The 27,232-nt window shown below is 35.6% G+C and overlaps 1 long non-coding RNA gene across 1 annotated transcript in view, besides 1 other annotated feature; it reads right to left on the bottom strand.

Annotated features, from left to right (window-relative positions):
• Positions 1-27,232, bottom strand: part of LOC124904475 (uncharacterized) — a 765,263-nt gene that overhangs the window by 353,585 nt on the left and 384,446 nt on the right. The window lies entirely within an intron of this gene.
• Positions 19,073-19,242: an enhancer, noted in NCBI's record as "experimental_1434 CRE fragment used in MPRA reporter constructs". NCBI's record gives its function as "activates a minimal promoter by MPRAs in K562 erythroleukemia cells, with activity observed for both the introgressed and non-introgressed 1:193815936 variant alleles {active_cell/tissue: K562}" and the evidence as "EXISTENCE:reporter gene assay evidence [ECO:0000049][PMID:34662402]".

Genomic DNA, 27,232 nt, shown 5'->3' with positions numbered 1-27,232 from the left:
TACTACTTCCAAATCTCTAATCTAAAATATAAAATTTCACTGTATTTGCAAAGAGAATTAACGAGTAATAAACAATAGACTTGATGTTGAAATATGTGAAAAAGGGATAAATTCACTACTTTCACAATTTTGAATTTAATGAGAGTATAGACTGTGACATGGAGGCTGCCAAAGGAAACCACGTGACATTAAGAACTGAAGACAAATCCAGCAAGACACACTTTGTTGTTGTCCATAGGTATTATCTTGACGTAGATAGATTTTTCTATAAATTGTTTTTGCTTTTTGTTTTTGCTTTTCCAAACCCACAATTAACATAACAAAAACATAATTGTGACAAAAAAATTTTCTCATTACATAAAAGTTTTTTAAGAATTATATGATTTATCTAATGGGTTACTGCTAAACTTACTGCAACTTAATTAAAATTTTTACAAAATCTTCTAATGACTCTCCTGTAGTCCCATAAATTCATAAATCAATCTCCCAAATAACCCTTCATGTAATATTTTGCAAACTGCTTGACTAAATTCCTTCACTTTTCTTTACCATTTGCACTGACTACAAGCAAATTCAACTTCAAAAGATTTTCTCATTTTCAGAAGGAGCAAAAAGATTGTATTTCCCATCTTGATGAAGAGCTCATAAGCCTGCAAGAACTGAAGAGCTGAGAACAAAGCCCTGCTGTTTTGAAAATTGTGTATGAACCCCAAGCACAGTGTGCCATCTGATCTTGTCTGCTATAGTGAGTGTTCTGCACAGCTCTGTATAATCCTTGAGTTCATTTTGTAACCCTTTCATTCACATTACTCTTTAACACTGATATTATTACCACATATTTGTATGTAGTACCTCTAGGCATGATTGGAGGAATTTAGTAAACTCTCACTGAGTTGAACACAAGCTATCATACCTTTCAGTAGAAATCCCAAAAGGCTCAGTTAGTACCAATGACACCAATAGGAAAATCATGCCCATGAGGATAATGAAATTGTCTATTTGCAAGTCAATATCTCAGATTTGAATAGATAAACATAGTGATCCTATTGATCCTGACTCACTTAGAAGACAAACAAAATGAACCAAGAGCACAGAAACTGGATTGACTTTTTGTAAGAAAATGTCAAACACACTGCCTGAAAGTTCTAAGAATTTTGTTATTTTATATGGATTTCACTTCAACAGTGTTACTAGTTTTGGGATCATAATAATACTGTAACAGTGAGAGATGGAATATTATCACCTAATATGCATTTCAAAAGCCTCTACAAATATCATTAGTTGCTGAAGCTTATTACCCAGGTTTTACTGGGTCTTATATCACTTTGAAGGGAAAAGTAATAGGTTTTATAAGTACATTAAAATTTCATTTTTAGTAGAGTTTTCAGAATAAACAAACCTAAATTAACAAACCTCTTCAAATTAGCATGTGGATGTCTCTGTGCTACTGACATTGAAAATATGTGTGCAGCAAAGGCGGAATCTAAAATATTATAAAGCCCCAAAATTAACTATGTTATTAATCCAAATGCTGAGCCACAGAACCACTGTAAATATTATGAAGACTTATTGGGATATGTAAATTAACACAACCTCTCATTACATCTGTGTGCAGTGGGGAGGGGCAAGGTATGTTCACACATGCAGCTGCACACTTTGTTCACAGGATACAAACTTCTCCTTTAATTCCTAATAGAGAAGGGAAGCTATACATCTGTAAGCTGCAGGAGTGATGTGGCAGGATGAAGATGTCCTCAGTGGGCTGAATGTACTGATTCAGATACTGGACCCTTTTTCCAATCCCCAGTCCTCTCATATTAAGCAACAATGTGTTGGTCAGAATGAACTCAACATGAATTTGGGGAAAATATGCGAAAGCACACGAGAAGGATTCTTATCACCCCTCGCTTTATAATAAACAAAGGTTCTGTGACAATTTTCCTGAGAGAAATAAAAGACAACTGGTGACAAATTTCCTGGGAAAAATTAAAGACATCCAGTTGGAACTACAGAAATTACTTTCACAGCATAACCTGGGAACAGGTGTGTGTGTACTAAGCCACTGTCTTTTGGGGTGGTTTCTTAGACAGAATAATTATGAAATAGAAGTGGGGTGTGAGGGAAATAAAATGGAGGTGAGAAAAAAAGAAGCAAGGATGATTCCTAGGTTTGAGTAAGCTGAGGTTTTTATATCATAATAGAAAATTAAAAATCAGTCTTTTCTCTTCCTTTCTTTTCTGTTTGTTTTTCTCTCTTTCTCGTTTTCTCTCTGTATTAGTCCGCTTTCATGCTGCTGATAAAGACATATCCGAGACTGGGAAATTTACAAAAGAAAGAAGTTTAACTGGGCTTACAGTGCCACAGGGCTGGGGAAACATCACAATCATGGCAGAAGGCAAGGAGGAGCAAGTCCCATCTTATGTGAATGGCAGCAGGCAAAAAGAGTTTGTGCAGGGGAACTCCTCTTTTAAAAACCATCAGATTTCATGAGACTCATTCACTATCACGAGAACAGTGAAGGAAAGATCCGCCACCATAATTCAATCACTCGCCTCCATGTTCCTCTCACAACACAGGGGAATTGGGAGAGTTACAATTCAAAATGAGATTTGGGTGGGGACACAGCAAAACCATATCACTCTCTCTCTTTTGCCTTCCCTCCCTTTTTTTAGGTCATCAGTTTTTGTTAAGAAAGATAAACATATATTAATACTTCTGAAAACTGCAGTATAATTGATCTTCTTCATTGAATTAATAAACATATGTGATCTGGGTCAGTGTAACAGCCACAACTTAAAGTCCATCTCCTAGACTCTCATCCTATGGTGGCATTAGAGGCATTTTTCATATCTAGAAATATTGAAAAATATTTTCTTCTAAAGCCTGGAGATAATAGTAATTTATATGTGCACTTTCATATATAAGAGATATATACAGTGTCTTATACTTCACAATAATTATTTGTAAAATATTCACAATATTCTTTGTAAAAATTGCTATTATTTGGAGGTTTTAATTACTGAACAATTGAAACTAAGTCATAAGAGCACATTACAAAACTGAGCTTCAAGCATAGATTTTTGTATTCATTTCATAAAAACAGTTGATAGTTTACTGAGATAAGATTTTCTATTGGGTCCGTTAAAAATTGTATTTTTAAATAGAAAACATCGTCACAGATATGCACATTCATTTTCTCTCTCCTCCGTCTATTATTATTCAAGCTACCCATTTCATCTCTGACATCTCTTTCCTTGGACAAACAATATTTAATTCCTATTAATTAAGAATTCCCTCTTTTCAGAATATTTACATTTCCTATTAGTTCAGTTACACATAATGTAATTTGGTAATTTTTTTGTTGTACTTGTTTTGTTTGTTTGCAGAGGTATTTTGCCACTTCATATATATTTTTTTTAAATCTCAGTGTACAGTAAATACAACCAAATGAAAACCAATGGGAGGAAATTGTGTGTTTGTGTGTGTGTGTGTGTGTGTGTGTGTGTGACAATGAAGATTTAGACATGTCTCAAGTTTTTTTTTTTTTTTTTTTTTTTTTTTGTTTTTTTTTTTTTTTTTTGAGACGGAGTCTCGCTCTGTCGCCCAGGCTGGAGTGCAGTGGCGGGATCTCGGCTCACTGCAAGCTCCGCCTCCCGGGTTCACGCCATTCTCCTGCCTCAGCTTCCCAAGTAGCTGGGACCACAGGCGCCCGCCACTACGCCCGGCTAATTTTTTGTATTTTTAGTAGAGACGGGGTTTCACCGTTTTAGCCGGGATGGTCTCGATCTCCTGACCTCGTGATCCGCCCGCCTCGGCCTCCCAAAGTGCTGGGATTACAGGCGTGAGCCACCGCGCCCGGCCATGTCTCAAGTTTTTAACAGCTTAGTAGAAATAGCAATATTCATCTGCAAGAATCTCTTACCACTATCTCCCATCAACCATATCAAACTTCTTCTGAAGCATTTTTATTGTTGTTGTTATCGTGCTATTATTTCCTCACATGAAAAGCAACAGTCGTGCCAGGCGCGGTGGCTCACGCCTGTAATCCCAGCACTTTAGGAGGCTGAGACGGGCGGATTACGAGGTCAAGAGATTGAGACCATCCTGGCTAATACGGTGAAACCCCGTCTCTACTAAAAACTAAAAAAGATTAGCCAGGCCTGGTGGCAGGCACCTGTAGTCCCAGCCACTCGGGAGGCTGAGGCAGGAGAATGGCGTGAACCCAGGAGGCGAAGCTTGCAGTGAGCCAAAATCCTGCCACTGCACTCCAGCCTGGGCGACAGCATGAGACTCCATCTAAAAAAAAATAAAATAAAATAAAGCAAGTCATATTAAGACTCATGTCCCCTATATTAAAGATGATCCCACATCTATAATTCTATTACAGAAGTACACTGGTGTTTTTAATGCCAGTGGCTTTTAGATAATTATGTTTCTAACACAATTAAATTTATCAGCGTAACAACCCATTCAGCAAAACAGAAAAGAGGCAATATTTGCATCAATGGTGCTTTGAAATGAACATTTTCCTTCAGGGATGCACAGCCACATAGTCTCTACTCTTTTCTCTTGACAGGTTATAAATATTCTCAGAAGTAACTGTTTTGATGTTGCCTTAAAAACAGGGGGAGGGAAGGGGATGAGGAAAGAACACTGAGGCTACATGCATTTTCACATCAATTTTGCTTTCACATTTGATAGTTTATTTATATTGCTGTTATTTGCATTTCTCATGTTACTTCATACTTTAGTCTTAGCTAATGACTTTCCATGAAATGATACTTCATGGTGTTTTTTGCCGAATGAAACCTTATCTTAGTTTCTTGTTATGATAGATAAATCCAATCAACAACAACCGTATGTTAAGAACTTTTAAGTTTGTTTGTTAGAGTCAACAATTTCTGAAAGCCTCTATTCTTAGTTATACATAATACATGTCTGTAAATCAGAGAGCATTCCATAACAGAAAAGGAATTTAGAGAAATGACTATTAAATTTTACTGGGAGAAAGATAGTGGAATTGTGTTCATATTTCAATACAATTTGGAAATGTTTATATGTGATTCCGCTTCTAAATTACCTAAAGATTAAAAAAAAAATTCTGCCATAACTCATCCCTTCTCAAACTTTTCCACCCGAGATTCTAAAGATACCTTTATAGAAGCATAAATTATTTGAATTTTGTTCTATGCTCTTTAATAAATGTTGATTGCAGTCAAACTCTAATTAATATGGCAACATACTATCTTTAGTCCTGTTAAGAGATGAGTAGAATCACCTCGATCATGTGGAACAAAATAGAAGAATCAGACCTGAACTAGCAAAATTGTATTAATTTCCCTCTACAATCAGCCATACTATTTGCATTTCCAACATATTTTTACATACTTTTGTGAGAAAAAATGGTTTTGAATGAGGCTTTCCATGTCCTTTATTCTGCCCAGAAATAAATTACTGGATTCTAAAATACATTTAGTATTACCTAGAGGACTTGTGAAAACATAGATTCCTGAGCTCTACCTGCAGAATTTTTAAATCAGGAGCTCTGGAGTGAGACCCAGGAAATTGTGTTTCTAACAAGTTTCCAGGTGATGCTGCTGCTGCTGCTAATTTGAGACCACTGAATGTGAGAAAGCTTGGACTCTTCCTAAGTACACCTTGGATAATTCCCTGATTGCAGCCTACTCAATAGATAATAATTTTGATTAATCTTCATACTCTCCTTCTTTTAAAAATTTTTCAAAAAAAAACCCTGAAGAAATACGAATTGTGTCCTAATAATGTAAGAGCTGGGGATGCATAGTCTATTTATTTTTCCCCTAGTCAGAAGATCAGAATAATATGAACGGAGGAAGGCAGGAAGGGAGGAAGGGACAGACGGATGGAGGGAGGGAGGGAAAGGAGGGAGAAAGAAATAAATTAGTTTCAAGGGCTTCAAAGAGAAAGATGTCTTAAATAATAATGATAACAAAATAAATGCCCTTTGTCTGAAAGGGGGACTTAGAGGACCTCAGAACCTGTCAATTCTGGTAATTTTAAAAATTATATCTCTTGTCCTCAAATAACTTTTCTTTTAATTCTCAGCTGCCAAGATAAGGGTTCAGTTACAATAATTTGTTGATGGGCTTATTAGTAATTTCATTTGGGGGCCTCTAATTGAGTTCCTTACTCTGACTACAACAAAAAGTTTCTATAGACCTTATTTAATATGAATGCTTTGATCAATTAACAATTATGAAAGTAATCAATTTTAAATAGGACATATTTGTAAGTTTAAAACATTTCACAGGACACTTACCTAGTTATTAATCTTGTTTCTTTCATGGCAGAATAATTGAAACAAAGGTACTCTATCTACAGCAAATAATAGTCACTTGTAAATATTTCGTAATTTCATCTTAAAATACAATTTTATTTCAGGCATTATTACAAATATGTAAAAGATTCTTACAGAATCCAGTCCCTTTCTACTTGTGACTCTTCTAAACCAGAATAACTTTTCAGAACACAGTAAGGAAATAAAGTTTGAACTAGCTACCTATATATTACAAATCTGTTTTAATATTTACAACATAAATTAATAGACATTACCCTGTCCAAAACAAAAATAGCACTGACAAAAGATCTACATACAACCGGTGTCTTATCCACCTGTTGGCTATTTAGGTGCCCAGAATTTCCTAGATTCAACATAGTACAAACAATGTAAGATGAAGTCTGGCACGTAAGAAGTTGACACTCTAACCTGGAAGACAATGAGGTGTTGAAATTAAGTCAGAATGAATAAATGAGACTTCATGCCGTAGAAAATACAAGAGAGATTTCTAGGGGTAGTAAGAAAAATCTTGGCCTTAATTTGGAAGAACGAGCTTCATAAATTTAGCTAGCAGAGAGTGAGGGGTGTCTTCTGCAGAACACCTCCTGGTAAATTCACAGGCTCAGCAGCGTACAAGGATGGCTAGCATGGGGAGCTAGTCTGCCTTACCATTACAACAATAAGGGTTATGCTTTTCCCACCCCGGCACCTCATTCTAGATATGGAATGGTAGATATGTAGATTTTAAATATGGTATTGTTTAGGTTACAAGCTATTGATGGTGAAAAAGAACCATTTAAGCACCAGGTAGAATTGCATGTATTTTGGCAGCATAGTTAGCTCTTAAATAAAATTCAGCTATTTCTTTGCTGTTAAAAATAATATTAACAACTATTCAATACATTCAAATGACTTCTATTTAGTTAAAATTAAATATGTTTGTGTTTCTATCTTGTTAAAGCTAATTTTTTCTGCTGCATTTTCCTCAAAAGCCTGTACATACAACGTTTGCAGGCCTTTGTTGGGGTGTGGTCTTGTTGAGTATGTCGATCTTTTGTCAGTGCTATTTTTGTTTTGGACAGGGTAATATCTATTTATTTATGTTGTAAATATTAAAACAGATCTGTAATATATAGGTAGCTAGTCCAAACTTTATTTCCAAAAATATTTCTTGTGGGTCATCAAAATATAAATACCTTTCTAGATCAATAGAAGTGTGTGTTTTTTGTCGGGGGGGCGGGTAAATGCTGACACTGTGACTCTTATTTTTGATAAGGTTAAGAAAGCAGCTGTGTTTCTGGGTTCCTGGCAGTTTCTGTACAAATGAAGTCCACGTAATCACTGGATACGTTTCATTAAAGTTTTCTGCAGATGTTGACAAAGATAGTTCCTTGAAAAGAACAAATGTGCATTTTATTTTATATTTTTTGAGACAGAGTCTCACTCTGTCGCCCAGGCTGCAGTTGAGTGGCGTGATCTCGGCTCACTGCAGCCTCTGCCTCCCGGGTTCCAGCGATTCTCCTGCTTCAGCCTCTGGAGTAGCTGGGATTACAGGCACGCACCAGCAAACCTGGCTAATTTTTTTGTATTTTTAGTAGAGATGGGGTTTCAACATGTTGGCCAGGCTGGTCTCAAACTCCTGACTTCAGGTGATCTGCCTGCCTAAAGTATATGTAGAAAGATGTGGCCTCAGGCAGGCACAGCAATTGAACAGTTTTTAAAGAAGTAACACTTCTACTTTTTCTGCCAAATACAAAGAAAGAGTGAAAAAGACCCAGTATATAAAACTTTTGCACCCGAACTGATGGTCTTTAAACAACTCTTCTATATGATATGCTATTTTCACTGTCTAGAAAATATACAATAGCCTGGAAAAAAACCGTATGTGCCTACATATTGGTGTTTCAAAAACAGAATCTATGCCTTAAATAAATTAGGCAATCTTTCTATCTCCAATCAACTCATCACAGACAAGAGACATTTTGGAAGTTGGAAATCTACCAAATAAATGTATTTCCAAGAAATGGAAAAATTTTGCACACTTTATTTTAATAACACAGAATCTGAAGTTAAGACAAAAATATTATAACTAAATGTTGCTGCAAATTTCAGTCACATAGATAGTTCAATATTATGTCACTATGTGGAATGAGAATGTAGTTAATTCAACATTTTGGTGTGTTATAAAAAGAGAAGGTACCTGAAGTATGAGACCATTTCACTTTGGTTGATTAGAGCAACTTAAAGTAATGAAAAAACTTGGATTTTAAAGGTAGGTATCTTGATTAATTTCTATTATCTTTTGTTTACTTGCTATATAGCCATGTAGAAGTACTTCAGTTATTTGTGCTTAAATTTCTTTATCTTTATACAGCAGTGTCCCCTGCCTACCATGTTCTTTCAACCATCATTTGAGATAATAGATACAAAACTAAATTTGTAAATTGTAACACACTAGTATACTTTTAAAATCAATGTGTTTAAAATCAGAACACCAGTTTCAAGTCTCGTCTTTTTTAGCTTTGTGAATTTGGAAAAGTCATTATGTTGCTTCAAATCCTTGAACCTCTTTCATCCTTCATACGTGTAGTTCTCAAAGTGTGGTCTCCAACCTAACACATCAGCATCACTTGGGAACTTTTTAAAAATGCAAATTCTGAGGCACTACTCCAGATCCCTTGAATTATCCACCGTGAAGTTGGGCCCATCACTCTGTGTTTTTACAAGCACTCCAGGTAATTTTAATGCATCCTAAAGTTTGGCAACAAACTTTACTGCTGAACAAAGGAAACAACATCAGCCTCAAAAACTGTTATGAGGATCATCATTAGAATCACCTGGGAGGTATATGTAGTATATGTATGTATGTATATGTATATACATCTTTGTGTATATATGTGTGTGTGTGTGTATATGTGTGTGTGCACTTATACAAGACACACAGGTGACACCAAAACACTTGGAGTTCCCTCCGGTTATTGTCAACTGGTTACTGCAATTGTGTCCATTGACCACAAACATGAGTCCGTTGGAATTTCTGTGTCTTCAATATTTCTCTGCCAAACTGGCCAGAAAAATGTCTATGAAGCCTGAGCATCTTGAAGTCAAGAGTATAGCGGTGCGTTGCACAGCGTTTTCCTCCTCATCCCCATCAGATTCAGCCACTGCTCTGGAACAATAGAAAGAAACTCGTGGGCTGTTCTCTCTTCTCTCATAGCACTCCTACCCTTTTTGTTTTTGAGAACTCAAGCTTGAGAAACTCAAAACCTAGACAAGCAAGTTATTGTCTTCAAAGAATGTCTACTTTTTATTAGGGAATAAAACTCGCTTTAGACAAAAAAGGACAAAGCTTAATCACAAACACTGATTATCATCACAATAAATGATCTTACAATCCTAGTATAGCACACTAGTTTAAGGCAAATACCTAGGGAAATTGTTTTTGTTTTGGTCCTCTATTTAAATTTGCAAAATCTGAGCCAAAGTGTAATTGAACAGACTGAATGCCATATTGGGCTAGAAATATATTTCTAACTTAAATCAATTGTGTTTGATTTAATTATTTAGTAGAAAAACATGCCAGCTCTATACCCAAACAGGCCTTGGCTAAATCAGTAAAATTGTCCAGTGAATTGACCATTTAACTTCCCTAACATATTCTAGCCCTACTCAAATTGTGTAAACGGCTTATATGTGGTAAGGATATGAGAAGTCACCCAATAAACATGGCACATAATACTAGAGCATCAATTGTGTGCAATGAGTGTGAATACATTTAAAACAAGGAGAGTAAATGGAACATAATACGAGATTTAAATAAATTAGAAAAACCTCAAGCTTGTGTTGCCCAGTGTGAGATTTATAACTAATCCCTTTCACATATCCCACCCCTATTTCTGTATGTTCATATGAAGTTTCCTTTATCAATGCAGGTAGAAACACAGAAAAGTTTGAGCTCACAATAATATGAAAAAGAATAATGATGTAAAGGAGTGGTTCAGTCATAGAGCTTCTCAAGTCTGTAAAGAATACTGTGCTTGAACTATCAGGATAATTGAGGTCAAAGAAATATAGTAATAATTTCTTAAACACTTTTCTCTTGTATACATGTAAAATAAACATCAATTTCATAAATGTCAACTCCAATCTGTTAGTAAAATAGTAATGTTAAATCAATATGCTGTCTCATAAAAACATAGGTGACACTGATTAACATATTTTCTACTATCTCAATTAGGAAGTCAAGAATATAATACTGTAAGCATTACTCACTACATATAGAGTCATGCACTGCATAAAGATGTTTCAGTCAATCACAAACCACATATGTGATAGTGGTCCCTTAAGATTATAATGAAGCTGAAAAATTCCTATTATCTAGTGACATTGTAGCTTTTATAAAATCATAGGACAAGACATTACCTTTTCTATGCTTACATACACAAACATTTGCCATTTTATTACAGTTGCCTACAGTATTAGTACAATAACATGCTGTACAGGTTTATAGCCCAGGAGCAATAGGTTATCCTTTATAGGTTTGGATAAATACACTCAGTGGTGCTCACGATAATGAAATCACCTAAAGACACATTTCTCAGATCGTATCTTCATTGTTAAGTGATGCATGACTGTATAAACACACACACAAACACACACACTCACACATGCATGCACACACACAAGATTGCATTTGTGACCAAGTAAAAAATAACTTGATTTTCAACAAACAGACAAATGCAGATGAACACACAACCCAGGAGAACCAAACTTTCATTCTAACAAAGCTTCAACATATATTCAGAAATTTGTACCAAATATCTCAATATTAATCCTGATAATTTAGGCTAATGTTTAATCATCTGTAAATGAAATTAGGAACATTTTAATAGCTGCAGGATGACTGTATTAGTCCCTTCTCATACTGCTATAAAGACATACATGAGACTGGGTAATTTATAAAGAAAAGAGGTTTAATCGGCTCATGGCTCTGTGCAGGCTTCTGCTTCTGAGGAGGCCTCAGGAAACTTACAATCATGGCAGAAGGGTAAAGGGGAAGCTGACATATCTTCACATGGCCAGCAGGAGACAGAGAGAGTAAAACCGGAAGTGCCATACACTTTCAAACAACCAGATCTTGTGAGAACTCACTCACTATTGTGAGAACAGAAAGGAGGAAATCCACCCCCATGATTCAATCACCTCCCACCAGTTCCCTCCTCCAAACATTGGGGATTACAATTTAACATGAGGTTTGAGTGGAGACACAGAACCAAACCATATCAATGACTAAACAGTCTGATGTTATATAGACATCACTCAAAAGTTCAGAAGTACTAAATCATTTAAAGTTTGATCATGTTTTTTGGAATGAAACTTGAGAATTACATTTACCTATACAGAATAAACCAGCATGTCTCTAAATTCACGAAATGATATTGGCTAGGTGGTATACTTAAAGTATTAATGATTACACACAAAAATCTAGTCAAAATTAGACATCATGAAAGTTATTCTTTTTGTTGCTGTTATTGATCTAAATGTATCCTCATTTTAATACTTGTATTCTTAAATTAATAAAACATATTTATGCTTATAAGATTGACAAATGTCTAGAAGTTCAGTAGTATACAGTATTGTCATGGGTAAGTGATACAGGATATTTTCATGACCCCTTTGCAGAACTTGGGATTGGTTGGGGGGTGCCTCATTTACTCAGCCTGCCCCTGTCTACCCCTCATGAGAGGGAGCATGTGAGCCAACAAGTGCAGGAACTGGAGCGAGTGCTTTTGGGCACTGGCAGGAAAAAAACTCCATTTACTTGGCTCACTGTTCTCAACCCCTTGTGGGAGGGGACGTATAGGCTATGGGTATGGGATCCAACTGACCGCTTTTGGGCGCAGGTGGGAGCAAACTCCATGCGGGCCTGCAGCAGTGTCCAGGTAGGGATGCCTGTGATCTCGGAAGCCTCAGAGGGTGTGTTATGATGCTCTTTCAGCTCTTCCATCTGCGGACAGCGTAAGTGTTATCAGCTCAGTGGGGCTTTTGCCTCATCACGTGGGCAGTTGCCCTCAGCCCAGTGAGGGCAGAGGGCCAGTGTGACAGCCTTCCTGGGTACCCCTACCCAGTGCATCCTGAATTCTTGTCCGGTGCCCAAAAGGAATGAGGTCACATGGACTAATTGAAGGATGGTGAATGTGGAGAATTTTATTGAGTGATGAAAGAGGCTCTCAGCAGGGAGGGGAGCAGGAAAGAGGATGGAAAGGGAAGGTTACTCTCCTGTAAAGTCAAACTGCCTCTCTGCCTCTGTCTTTGGAAGTCAAGTTGCCTCTCCCTGATGCCCAGCCACTTCCTCCTGACATCCAGCTGCTTCTCCTCTCTGCCAGCTGAGTCTGGAGTTTTTAGAGGCACAGCATGGGGGCGTGGAGAGGTGCCATGGGTAGTTTAGGAAAAAGCAACATTCAAGCAGGAAAACAGGGATGAAAGTTCTCATGTTGGGCTGCAGGTTTCAGGCTTTTAGGCTTGCAGGTGGGGTTTTGCCAGGGACACGCCCCTGTGTGCTTAGAATTAATCTTCCTCCTGCCTCTATCATTGTATCATTAGGAGAAACTGGTGGGACTGGCAAATTTGACAACTTCTATGTAGCACAATTTAGCAATATCTATCAAAATTAAGTATACATACAACTTTGACACAGAGATTTTGCTATATTTGTCCTACATGTAAGATAAATAATTATAGCAAATGTACATAAATATATCTTTGTACATATTTTATGTTGCACAGTAGTTACTGTATATGCCAAACCAGTCATAATAGCAAAGACCTGGGAAAAAATTTACTGAGCAATATGATACTGGTTAATAAATCATTCACTAAAAAATGCAGCTATTAAAAATAATGTATCTAAACATACATAAAATGATTTCTAAGATATAAGTGATAATCAATCTTAAGTATCCTAACAACATGTATTAGATATAATAATCTTTGTGGCATGAACAAATGTGTAAATAAAATATGTCTAAATTCATAGCAACCATTGGAAATATACATTTTGAATGTAATTTTGAGGTTTCTCTTGGAGAGTATCTAGATGGCTGGGAAACAAGTAAGGAAGGGAGGTACATTTTTAAAAGTATTTAAATTTTAAATTTTATACCATTTGCATGAATTATATATTCCGAAAATTAAATTTAGAGAGGAAAATAATTCCAGTTAATTTTTTCCTGATTCACTGCTCAGAGAAATGAAGTATATTTGTGATAAGTAAAAAGTTTGGCATTCCTCTTCATACATTTGTGTGTGTGTGTGTGTGTGTGTGTGTGTGTGGGTGCATTAACTGAGTCTCCATTTTACAAATGAGAAAATTGAAGCTCAGAAGGATTCAGTAATTTTCTCAAAGTCTCACAGCAATTAAATAGCAGAGCCTAAAGTTGTATTCAATTTTATTTAACATCAAAGCTTGTGATCTAACTACCATATTGCAGGTGCTCTTTAAAAATTCGTCACAACTAATATCTCAAAATGTTAGTTTTGAACTTTTAAATTGCTATTCAATGCCAAATTGCCAAATTCAACCTTTTTATCTCCCAATAATATGATCTTCCCAAATAGTTGGCGTCTTTTATAGTAAACACCCCCACTTTTAAAGTTCAACTATTTCTGTATCAACACTAGCACAGAATCGTATAGCCACTAGCACATCTATTTAGAAAGCCTTTCTGAAACGTTGGCCTTTTTGCTTTCTGAATTATGCTACTTTAGCTTTAAAAACCAAAAAAAAAAAAAAAAGTCAATTACTGGTTATTGACACACAGTAAGAGGAAATGAGTCCTGGTTGATAGTGATATAAATTGATAGTTTCAAATTCTGAACTCATTTCATAGCTGTACAATTGCTTTTGAAGTGTGACTTTTATTAAGCCTCTTAACCCCTGGAAATTTCATCTCTGAATGGGTAGCTTGCAAAATGTACCGGTCCTCTATGGGATATTATGAGCTCTCATTAATTAATGTTTTGTAGAGCACTTTGAGATTTGGTTTGAATGGTGCTACATCAATGCAAAGTATCAGTAAGACACTTAAAAATCAAATTGTCACCTGCTCCAGGGACTAAAGTAAAGCCTGTAGTTTGCTGATAATGAAGTCAGCGCTTGTGTGTGTGTGTGTGTGTGTGTTTTGAAGTTAGTCAGGGTGGAGTTTATTAGACCAACATTTTAATAAGAATATTTGGGAGTCTAACAGTATAATAGAGATACATAAATATGGTCAACTCTCAACTACTTGAGCAGATTAATTGATTTATGAATTAACTGTGGTCAAAATGGGTGGAAGCCCCTTTATCTTTCCTGCACTGTGTAGTGGCTTAAGGCAGTGGCTGATCCTTAAAGAACCAACTCAGGAAGCAGAAAAGACATCGACCCATGTATAGAGACCCTGTGGCTGATGCTGGAAGGTCTGGGTTGCCTAGCTTTCTTTACATCGCATGTGTTTCCTCTGTCCTTGAGAAGGTCAAAGCCAGAGGCTAGGCTTTAATATCTCCCATAAGTGTCAAGGAGGAGAGGAAAGCAAGCTACTTACTTGATCTAAATTTCAGTCAGCCACTGACTGCTTCTATGCCTCTCCAAAGGAGGTAAACTCCCAGACCCTGCTGTGCCCCAGCCAAAGTAAATATACACGTTTGTTAATCCACCCCAATCATGTCCTCAGAAAAGAAAGCATTGGCCTCATTTTAACCACTTTTCCATGACATGTGATCTCCTCGTGCCTACTCATTGAACAAGACTTTGTGGTTATTAATATTGATTAATATCTAACAAAGAATATATTCAAGTGTATTTTGGGGAAAAAAAGTAATGTGATTTATTTCAGTAATATTCAAGAGAAAATATTAAATTATGATATCCATTTTGCTGTTCTTACCCTAGTATTTTGTTAGTGTCTATGGCATAGTTGTTACACAGTTAATGTCTCTGCTAAATGAGACCATTTTGTCATAGCTCATGTTCTCAGATTTAGCTTTGCTACCACAGTTGTTTACTTTAGTGTAGCCATTGCTTATAAATTAAGAAACATAGGTTTTTTTTATTTTTATTTATTTATTTATTTGAGACAGTCTCACTCTGTCCCCCAGGCTGGAGTGCAGTGACGCAATCCATCTCGGCTCACTGTAAACTCTGCCTCCTGGGTTCAAGTGATTCTCATGCCTCAGCCTCCCTAATAGCTGAGATTACAAGCACCCACCACCACGCCTGGCTGCTTTTTGTATTTTTAGTAGAGACAGGGTTTTGCCATGTTGGCCAGGCTGGTCTCAAACTCTTGACCTCAGGTGACCCACCCACCTCGGCCCCTCAAAATGCTGGGTTTACAGGCGTGAGCCACCATGCCCAGCCAGAAACATAAGTTTAATTTAAGAAAACTAAAACAACAAAAATTCAAAAATAGTTCTGACTGTAAAAATAACACTTGCCCACTGTCTTAAAATTTAAGAAAATATTTTGCTTAAAATTTCTGGCAACATTAAAAATGTAGCCAGAAACAAGGGCAAAAATGTGTTCAACCTCAAAAGTAAGACTATTTTAAGTAGTCAAATCTAGTGAAGAAACATTTCTAATAAAATTACTTTTAAAAAAAATCAAAGAGAAAATGTTTTACATAATGATATTTTGTATTATTGAAAACTTCCATTTAATATGAGAAAATGTGATGTATAGTTATAAAATATAATTAAATCAATTAATGTTCAAAAATGTCTATTGGAGATAGTATTATATTTTTATTGATAATAGTATTACCAATAGTATGATTTAAATAACTGGAAATGAATAACAGCCAATAAATATAAAACAGAAATTTTTGGTTATATTTTTCTCCTAGATAAAAGAAAAATTCTTTAATACTGCCTGAGAACACACTTATCTACAGTTTCCTGTACTTTCTACTAGAAAACATGACAGCTGAATCCAAGAAAAAAAAATGAACACTTATCCTGGAATTCTGTCCAATCCAATCACAGATTAGAATTACCAGTGAATCTAAGCAACAGAGGTATAGCATATACTATAACAGCAGAATGAGAATAATGTCCCAACATCCAAACTAGTTCACAGGATAAAAATAAGAAAGAGTGTTCAAAAAATTAATACACTTAAAATGTAAGAAATAAAAGATTTTTAACAAGTATAATTTGGATACATATTTTAGCAAACCTAAATGATATGTATGCTATGTAAACAAAAAGGACAAATAAAGATTGAAAAATGATCAAAACAAGACCAGGAAAGTATTAACAAGAAACATTTTTTCAAAGTCTATTGTGCTTTGTTAATATTAGACTAAATACATTTTGAAACAAAAAAAACCTTATACACTATGGTAGATTGAAAATATCTCCATGATACTTTATAACTCTTCACAATTGGTAACAGTTTATTCTCCTATCCCTGGACCAAGGTCCTAACAAAGGAGGTGACAAAAAGTGGTTGGATTTTGTGCTAAATATAAAGTTAGAGCCAATGGGAACTCATTACAGATTATATGTTGTGTGTGAAAGAAGGATATGAGCCAAAGATGACTCAAAGATTTATGACTAGAACAATTAGAAAAATGAAATCGCCAATAAAGGAAAACCAATCTAAGATTAGAAGTGCTAAGGAAGGAAAAAACAATTTTAGAATATTTAAAATGTTATCTAATATAAATTATCTTTAAATATTCTAATTTGCAAATAACTACAGAGCCAAAAAGTAAGCATAATTTATAAAGCATAATAGAAAAAAGGAAAGGAATCATGAAATATATCAATTATTACCTATTAGAATCAATACCAAAAGTTATTTATTTAAATAAATATGAATTACTTAAATTCCCTTTATAAAAGATGAAGTTTCTCAAATAAGCTTAAAATATATACTATGTACAAGAAAAACTGACGATAAAAATGCACAGGGAGACTGAAAATGCATAAAGTATGTCAAAATAAAGTAAACAAAAAGCAGAATATTAATATTAAAGTGAGAATCCAGATTAAAGTCATTAAATTTTTAAAATATCTGATTTGAATGAATCAGGTTCTGTTGATACAAAGTTTAATCTATAGTGATTATACATGATGAATGAACATTTTATACAGTGAATAACATAGCATGAAAATATATACAAATTGGCCAGGTGTGGTAGCAAACGCCTGTAATCCCAGCACTTTGGGAGGCCAAGGCTGATGGATCATGAGGCCAAGAGATCGAGACCATCCTGGCCAACACGGTGAAACCACATCTCTACTAAAATACAAAAATTAGCTGGGTGTGATGGTGCACATCTCTAGTCCCAGCTACTCGGGAGGCTGAGGCAGGAGAATCACTTGAACCTGGGAGGTGGAGGTTGCAGTGCGCTGAGATCACGCCACTGCACTGCACTCTAGCCTGGTGACAGAGTGAGATTTCATCTATATATATATAAACAGACACATATACACACACACACACACACACACACACACACAAATTATCTTTAATTTTCAGATGTCGACTTTAATAAAACCCACACTTATTTTTGCACACTGACATCTGAATTCTCTTTCTTACCTTCAGCTTTCATACAGTAGCTCTCTAATGATATTTTCAAGCTATCCCAAATTGGCATTGCCTGCCAGCCCATGCTGCAGGGATTCTAGTCTGTGCCAACACTAATGCATCGGTGTTAGGAGGTGAGCACTTTTAAAGGCACCAGTTTCTGGTGAAAATGAGACACCCCCAACCCAGCCCTTTGCACTTGTGATGTTTTCTAATTACTTAATCAGAGTCTCATGAGAATAAGGAGCAGCAGCACAAAAATTGTCTATGAACAAAATTGTATTTTAGTCCATAGATTGTTGAAATGTTGATTTATTTTTAACTTAATAACTCAAACATTTGCAAGATACTGAGAAAATTTGGGATGTGGAGAAACAACATCAAGTGCTTATGCTTTAGTAAAATATATATATTCTATTCACAGAAATAATCATTTGGAATGTATGTGCTTAATATCCCCTGTAAACACCCAGATATGTTGAACATAATATATTTCATTGTTTATCCTTTCTGCAGGAGGCTTAACCATCTTGGCTTTATTTCTCAGACATAGTTATGTAAGTTGCTGTGGTCAGTGAAAAGAGGGCAGAAATGATTAGGTGTCACATCTGGCAGACACTATAATATCCAGTTCATGCTTTGATCATTTCTTTTCTCCCTTAGCCATGGTTTCTGCCAATATTCAGATAATAGCTGACACCTTATTCTGGATCCCAGAGTGAGGGCTGTGATGAAACCCAAGAGAATCCCCACCCAGCTCATATATGCTTAGTGCATGGGCAAGAAATAAATTTTTGTTGTCTTTTTAAATGTGTCAAGACAGCATCGCCTCTATTTTTAATCAGAAACCAAATTTGGGAAATTGGCCCCCAGTTCAGATTATTACGGATGACTGACCCTTTCAGGCATTCCCTATTATTCAATTAACTGAATGGAAGCCAAAGTGCACTTCAATTTGTAGACAGTTTTAATTGACATGGCATTGCTTATAGTGGTTTTGACCTTAGAAGGAGCCCTAGAATACATTGATGAAGTATTAGGGAAAATATGCACATTCACTTCTTATGCTTCACTTAGTCTGTGGTTTAAAAAATTAGAATTTGCTGTGCCCAGAATGTAAATTCACTTTAAATGACAACATTTTTCTATTGAGCTTTCCTTGGATGTTTATCTTTTAAAAAGAACTCCAATTTTATTTATTTTGCTTTTGTCCTTAATTACTTATTTGATCTGCCACAATTAAAATTTAATATGATCTAGAAAGACAACGAACGGTCTGATCATCTCTTTTTTGTATTATAAATTTATCTAGCTTAGGTGTTAAAAATAATTTCATCTAGAAACTCTTAAAAAATATGTTTTTTGTTAAAATGCTTTGTGTCTAAATTGTAAAATAATTAGGTACACATATCTTACAGAATCCAAATAAGGTGAGTATTCCAGCAAGTCACATCATGTCAGCTTGATAGATACCGCAGACATCTGATATCCTGTGTGACTCAATTTTTTATATCACTCTATAACATTTTCAAAAAATATTCCCTTCCATTTTATTCTCAAAACAAAATTCTGAAATTGTTAACATAAATATCTTTATTACATCATTGCCAGCAAGGGCAATGTGGCATAGAAAGATTCTTAGCCAAGAACACAGAGGCATAAAATTTAACACTAGAGCATAAAGACTAAACTGTATAGCCACTGGATTTTAGTCTAGTTCTTATACCTTGCACCATCATAGTATTTTACATCTCTTCTTGTTTATCTAATTTGTGTTTGGGAATTTTTAGACTCTCTGGCTAACAACCCCACTTGCACTTCATTTTCTTACATGCCTTAGCTAAGTATGTGAAATAGGTGATCCTAAATAATAAATAGGAATTTGTTATGAACGTGTGGGAAATACTTGGGGATACACACATGAGTTTCCAATTCCTAATCCATTTTGGAAATACAACCCTTCCAAAAATTTGTCTTTATAGCTACCTGATTCTAATCTACTTCCAATAATCACATTCAGAATTCCAGTTTCTTGACATACGCACCAAAATAGCTATATTTCTTTTCCCTCTTGCCCTCATGCCTCTCTCTCAAATTACTGATAAATTACTTTGAAATTTTGGGCTTCAGTGGAAGAACTATTAGGTAGGTGCAAAAATTACTGAATTTTGCCATTGAAATTAATGGCAAAAGCCACAATTACTTTTGCACCAACCTAATACAACCTTGAGCTTTTCCCCTGAATCATTTTATCTAATTAAAAACTTTTACTTGACCACATTCTCTTAACTTGAACTTTTCCTTGAGGCACAATAATTCAATGAGGGTAATTAACAGTAAGTGTGAAAACTGTACTCTTAATTTGGTCTTTGTCACAATGCTGAGCCAAGGTCACTCAAAATTTTCTGAAGTCTTTCTTATACCCTCTTACTGGTTAGGTTTAAGAAGCAGTTGCTTTTTTTAAGCCTCTTAAATCCTCAGCTTTCTGAGTATTTTGTATCCTTTTCATTACTGCTTGAAAATTAACCAATTCCTTCAAATTTCATTTTTCTCATGATACCATGTTAAATACAGCCAATAGCAAATAAGAGAAACTAGCAATATTCTGCTTTTAACTTTACCTCACAATCAAAAATTCATTACATACATAGGCTGCCTCCCATATTGCTAGAGGTAATTATTTTACATAAGATTTGTCACTCAGTGACATGAATCAATGTCTATAAAGTCTCTGATGTATGTTGTCTTCCTGGTTAAGTTAATGACCCATATTTATTTATTTTTTGGTAGCAACAACACCCAAATTTGTTGCCCTTTTTACTTTTTAATGGTGCCATTAGATGAAGAGAAGCTATGTATTAGTCCATTCTCATGCTGCTAATAAAGACATACCTGAAACTGGGTAATTTATAAAGAAAAGAGGTTTAATTGACTCAGTTTTGCATGGCTGGGGAAGCCTCGGGAAACTTACAATCATGGTGGAAGGGGAAGCAAACATGTCCTTCTTCAAATGGCGGCAGGAGAGAGAAGTGCCAAGCAAAGGAGGAAAAGTCCCTAATAAAACCATCAGATCTCATGAAAACTCAGTATCATGAGAAGAGCAGCATGTGGGTAACTTCCCCCATGATTTAATTACCTGCCCATGTGAGTGTTATGGGAACTACAATTCAAGATGAGATTTGGGTGGGGACACAGCCAAACCATATCAAGCTGTTAATGTCAATGTAGGCCAATTTACCAATCTTTTCCTTCATAATCAGTGCTAATGATGTCCTATTTCAGAAATGTTTGCCTTGTAAATTTATAACATTTTCTATTGCATCTAAAAGACATACACTTAGATTTGAATTTGAGATATACACTCTAACAGGATATGTATGTGTGTTTATTAATTTTATAATTTTACATATGGTGTGGGGTAGAAGTGAAGATTCTTTTTTTTTGCATATGGATGTCCAATTAATATATCATCACTTTTTAAAAGACCGCTTTTTCACTACTCTTCTATATGGCTACTTTGGTCATTAAGTCCTGGTTAAGTTAAGTTTCTACATATGCATGCATTTATTTCTGGACTTCCATTCTTCTGTTTTTCTATCTGTATGGCCTATTAAAAGTTCCACTTTCTTAATTATAATACTATATATTTATAATAATTCTTAATATATCAAGAATATATTAAAGTCTCCTTTATTCACAGTATTCAAGATTATCAGCTATGCATAGCCTATTAAATTTCCACATATAATAAATTATAAAATCTACTTGTTAATATTAAAAAAGAACAGTCTCATCGCAAATTAAGGATTGAAATGAAACTATAGAAAATCTGTAAAGAAATAACATATTGAAATTATTTGGTGTTCTAATCCACAAACATAATATTAATATGTTCCCCCATTTACTTAGACTTTCTTCTTTCTACGTTTGTTTTTCTCTGAGTAGAGGTCTTAATTTCTTTTGTTATGAAGAGCTTGGAAATTACCAGCCCCATGCAGATATTTTACTTCCAACTTCCTACTTTCTACTTGACCAAAGCTTTGTCTCTCCTGTCCTCTGCACAGCTATTAATATCTAAACTTCTATTGAATTCATCTAATGCTCCTAAAATTCAGAGTCAACTTCTCATGTTTACTTTATTTTTTCTCTCCAGGGAATTTTCCCTACTTTTCTATAAGCTTAAATATTCTACTATAAGTGTTTTTTTAATCCAGATTATCTAGCTTTTAATAATAGAAAAATAAAAAACAGAAGGTTTTTCAGCTAGTTAATCTACCATAGTGCCAAAGGCAGAAGTCATTAGAAATACCTTGACCTTTCATCATACATCTGTGGGTACTATTTGATTTAAGTTTTGTATTGTATTTGAATTACTTTAAAAATAAGTAATTCAAAAAATTGAATGCCCAAATACTCAAGTTTGATCTCCTAAATAACAATTCACACATGAAGAAACAGAGGCTTCTATACCTACTCTAGAATATATGTTTCAGTTCTTCTGTGTTGATTTTCTTTTTGTTATGCAATGCCTAAATCATTCTATATGGAAGCTTTTATATACCAGCAATGTTTAATGTGCTTTTCATTTATCTGAGCCAATAAACCATTTTAGATTATATAATTCTACGAATTTAAGGGTTATTGACTGAATGTTTTCCCCAAAATATTTATGTTGAAGCCCTCATTTCCAGTGTGATATTTGGAGGTAGAGCCTTTGGGAGGTAATTAGGTCATGAGGGGAGAGCCCTCCTCATGCATGAGATTAGAACACTTACAAGAGCCACAAGAGAAATGATCTCTCTGTCTGGCATGGGAAGACATAATAAAAACACAGACATCTGAAAACCAGGAAGAGGGCCCTCACCAGACACTGGAACTGTAGGTGCTTTGATCTCAGACTTCCATGTTTCAGAACCATGAGAAAGAAATGTTTGTTGTTTAAGACATCCAGTCTATGGAATTTTTATTATAGCAATCTGAACTGATTAAGACACCAAGGATAGAGCTAGTAATTGCTTAACAGAAATTGGCTAATGAATGTATTCAGACCTCAAGACAACTATGCTTATTATACACTTTGTTTCTCTATTCACTGAGTACTGAGTCTTGAAAATAAAATTTTATTGTAAAAAATATAGAATTCTCAAATGTACCTATATTATGCATATAATACCAACAGCTGTACAAGCCAACACCATAAATAGTATTTGCATATGTTCTCATTTTTAATATTATATATAAATAAGCTGAGTTATGTTTAAAAAGTTAAATGTGCTCTCTTCATCTGCCAGTTTGTAGCTCCTGATTTCTTTAAACTGAATTAAATAGAAGTACATCAAAAGCTGTGAAAGACACAACAATCAATATTTAGACACTATCCTGTTCCTATCAGGCACTGTTGTCGCACTAACAGGCAACTTCATTAAAGACTTTAGAAATAAAATATCTGGGTTCAAACGTGCCAAGGAACCTAGTTTAAGACTCAGCAATAATAATTGGAGGGGAGCCATCTTAAAATATATGGTTGTTGAATAATAAAAGCATAATGGCATTTATCTGTATAAAATCTGACATCAGGTTGAATAAGAGGGCAGAATTAAATAACCGAGTTCATAATACATAACTGAAATTCACACAATCTCTCAAAAAATAACATCTTAGTTTCCCTGCCATTATATTCACCTTTTCCAACCTTGAAATTTTCCTGTCCAAATTCCCCATTAAATCTTCACTGAGTACTTGAGATGGTCTTTGAACACATATTGATTTATTCTAACAGAAATAACTCTAACATTTCTCTTTAACCCTTCAGTTGAATAACCTTCTATCCAAAAATATATAAATACTTGTGGAAACTGTGTATAATACAGAAATATAATTTCAAGCACATTTGTTGATAGTATGTAAAATATTTGGTGAATCACTGATACATTTAAATGTTTGCATTCCAAAAGACTACCATGCTATGGTTTGAATGTGTCCCTCAAAGTTCACATGTTGGAAACTTAATCCTCAATGCAACAGTGTTGAGAGGGGGGACTTGTAAAAGTTATGATTAGGTCATGTGGGCTCTAGTTTGAGCCCTCTTTCTCTCTCTCTCTCTGTTTCTCTCTCTCCCCCCGCCCCCCGACTTCCCCCATGCATGTGCACACACACATTCTCTTGCCCTTCTGCCTTCCACAATAGGATGACACAGCCAGAAAGCCCTTGCCAGATGTAAGTCCCAGATGTAAGACCTTGGATTTCCTATCCTTCCGAACTGTAAGAAATACATTTCTTCAATATAGTGAGACCCTATCTCTACAAAAAATAAAATTTAGCCAGGCATACTCAGGAGGCTGAGGCAGAAGGACTGCTTGAGCCCAAGAGACTAAGACTGCAGTGAGCTATGATTATAACACTGCATTCCAGCCTGGGCAACAGAGCAAGACCCTGTCTCTATAAAAATAAGAACTGTTTAAAAACAAATTTATTTCTTTATAAATTACCCAGTCTGTGGTATTGTCATAACAACACAAAACATGATAAGACAGAAAATTGATCCCAAGAAGTGGGGGATCTAAACTGAAGGACCTAAAAATGTGAAAGCTTTGGAACTGGGTAATGGGTAGAAGGTGGAAGAATTTGGAGAAATGGGCTAGGAAAAAACCTAGGTTGCTATAAATGAAGCATTAAGGACAATTCTAGTGAGGGCTCAGAAGTAAAGAAGAGCTGTAGGAAAATTTTGGAACTTAGATATTACTTAATGATTGTGATTAGAATGGTGGCAGAAATAATAGACAGTAAACGCCATTCTAATGAGGTCTCAGATGGAAATGAGAAACAAAGTGTTGGAAACTGGAGTAAAGTATGTCTTTACATAGAGTTGCAATGAACTTGGCAGAATTGTGTCCAAGGCCTAGGACTTATGGAAGGCAGAACTTAAGAGTGATGTACTAGGATATCTGAGAGAAGATATATACAAACAGTAAAGTATTCAAGGTGCTGCATGGCTTCTTCTAGACACTTATAGTAAAATCAGAAAAATGAGACATGATTATTAAAAGGAAACAGAGTGGAAATATTTTGAAAACTCTCAGCCTGGCCAAGTAAAAAAATTTTTAAGTGTGTTTGGGGGAGAATACTAAGGATGTGGCAAAGGGACCATTTGCTAAAGAGATGAATATGGATAGAAAAAAGGCAGGTTCTATTCATGAGGATGATGGGAGAATAGCTCTGAAGGTATTTCACACATCTGAGACAAGCCAGGACCTTGGAGGCAAGATTTCCAGAAAGGCAACCATGGAATCTCAGCATTCATTTCCTGGGGTTGCCTTGGGACTGTACTCCTTGCATTCCAGCACAGTGCCACCGCTCACCTGCCCCAGCCATGGTTCAAGATGGCTCAGATGTGGCCATGCAAGCAGTAATCCTTGGCAGTGTTCACATGGTGCTAATTCTGCAGATGCACAGAGTGCCAAAGCTGTGGGGTTATGTCAGCCTGCACCCAGATTTTGAAAGATGTCATAGACAGCCTGGGAGCCCAGGCAAAGATTTGTCACAGGGACACAGCCACCACAAAGAACCCCTACTAGGGCAATGCCTACTGGAGCCATGGGAGTAGGGTTGCTATTGGGATGAAATAAATATATTTTGCATGTGAAAAGAATATGAATGTGAGGGCTACAGTGGAGGTATTCTATGATCGGAATATGTCCCCTGAAGTTCATGTGTTGGAAACTTAATCCCTAATGCAACAGTGTTGAGAAGTGAGATCTTAACCTAACCTTAAGACTAGGTTATGAGGGCTTTGCCTTCATTAATGGATTTAATGCCATTATCCCTGTGAGGGAGGTTAGTAATTGCAGGCGTGGGTTCATGATAAAAGAATGAGTTTGTCTCCCTTCCCCATCTCTCCTCTCTCTATATACATATCTCTTTTACCTTCTCTCATTCTCTTGCCCCTTTGCCTCCCACTATAGAATGACACAGCAAGAAGGCCCTCACAAGATGTAGACCCTTGACCTTGGACTTGTCAGCCTCCAGAACTATAAGAAATAACTGTTTTTCTTTATAAGTCATCCAGTCTATGGTATTCCATAGCAACACAAAACAGATTAAGACACCACATAAATGAAAAGATTTAGCACTAAAATCACCATGTATTAGGGAAGTGTGCTAGAAGATATGAGCTATATATTCTAATTCTATTGAAAGTTGTTTTAAGTCATTTGCCTAAAGTCAGAGAAAATATAACATGTACTTTATTAAAAGAACATTTTCTTCTTGTTTCCATATTTTCAAATAGTGAGTCTGGATGAATAATCTGTTTTCCACTGTGTTTTGGTTATAGATGGAGGAACTTCCATATTAGAACTTCTATCTTAGAATGGCTAAATAACTGGTTTTTATTTTAAACTGTCTGGGTTAAAAAAATAGTTGAAGCTGATAAACTCAAAAGGTATGTTGGCATAATGTGAAGTGTTTAAAATATCAGATTTGATAGAGAAAATCAAAGCACTATAAATTAACCCATGAAGGCAGGAGAAAATTAGGAGGTGTATGAGAAGGGTAATAAGAGAGAATGGAGAGTATGGAGAAAGAAGGGGAGTAGATAAGGAAGAAGGGATAGGAGAGAAAAGAGAGAGAGTGGGAGGAGGCAAAGAGGATAGAAAGGAAGGTAGAGAAGGTAGGTAGCTCCCTAGGATAAACTGAGCACCATCTACTAAAGACATATTTCTGCTTTGAAAACATGTCATTGACGCTGGCATGGATTAAATAAAAATTACTCTTCTCAGTATAAAACTTAAAATCCTCCGTTACCTAACTTCTGCCCACTTACTAGCTTCAACTCTTGCCACTCTTCAATATAAACCCTCAGTTCAAACCATATCAAATTACCTACGATTGGTTACTGTACTAACCTTTTTCAGAGCACTGGGCACATGCCGATCGTTCCATGTGGTCTTCCCTTTTCCTCCCTCCCTACCTCTTCATTTGCCATAGTCCATCCTTAATCTTCTAAGTCCTTCATTTATTCTTTAATATCAGCTCTAATCTTGACTTCTTTGTAAAGTGTTCCTTAATCTGTCCTCCTTTTCAGGAACTGTTGGGGGTTCCCCTTCAGTGCTCACTTGGCAACTTGTACAAACCTTTGTTCCAGCACCTAACACTTGCATTGCGATGTACACAAATTTGAGCTTAGGACTCATATTGAAGTATATAATATATGAGTATATGTGACTCATAATGAGTATTAGGACTGAATTTTACCCATCACTGAGGATGAGTACATTTCTAAACTCTTAGGAATTCATAAATGTTTATTATGAAAAATTAGTCGATGTTAATTATTGTGAGACTGG

This window comes from Homo sapiens, chromosome 1 (assembly GCF_000001405.40).
Source record: "Homo sapiens chromosome 1, GRCh38.p14 Primary Assembly".
NCBI classification, from domain to species: domain Eukaryota; kingdom Metazoa; phylum Chordata; class Mammalia; order Primates; family Hominidae; genus Homo; species Homo sapiens.
Note: the sequence above shows the minus strand (reverse complement) of the source record. Positions and strands in the feature narration are given on the sequence as shown.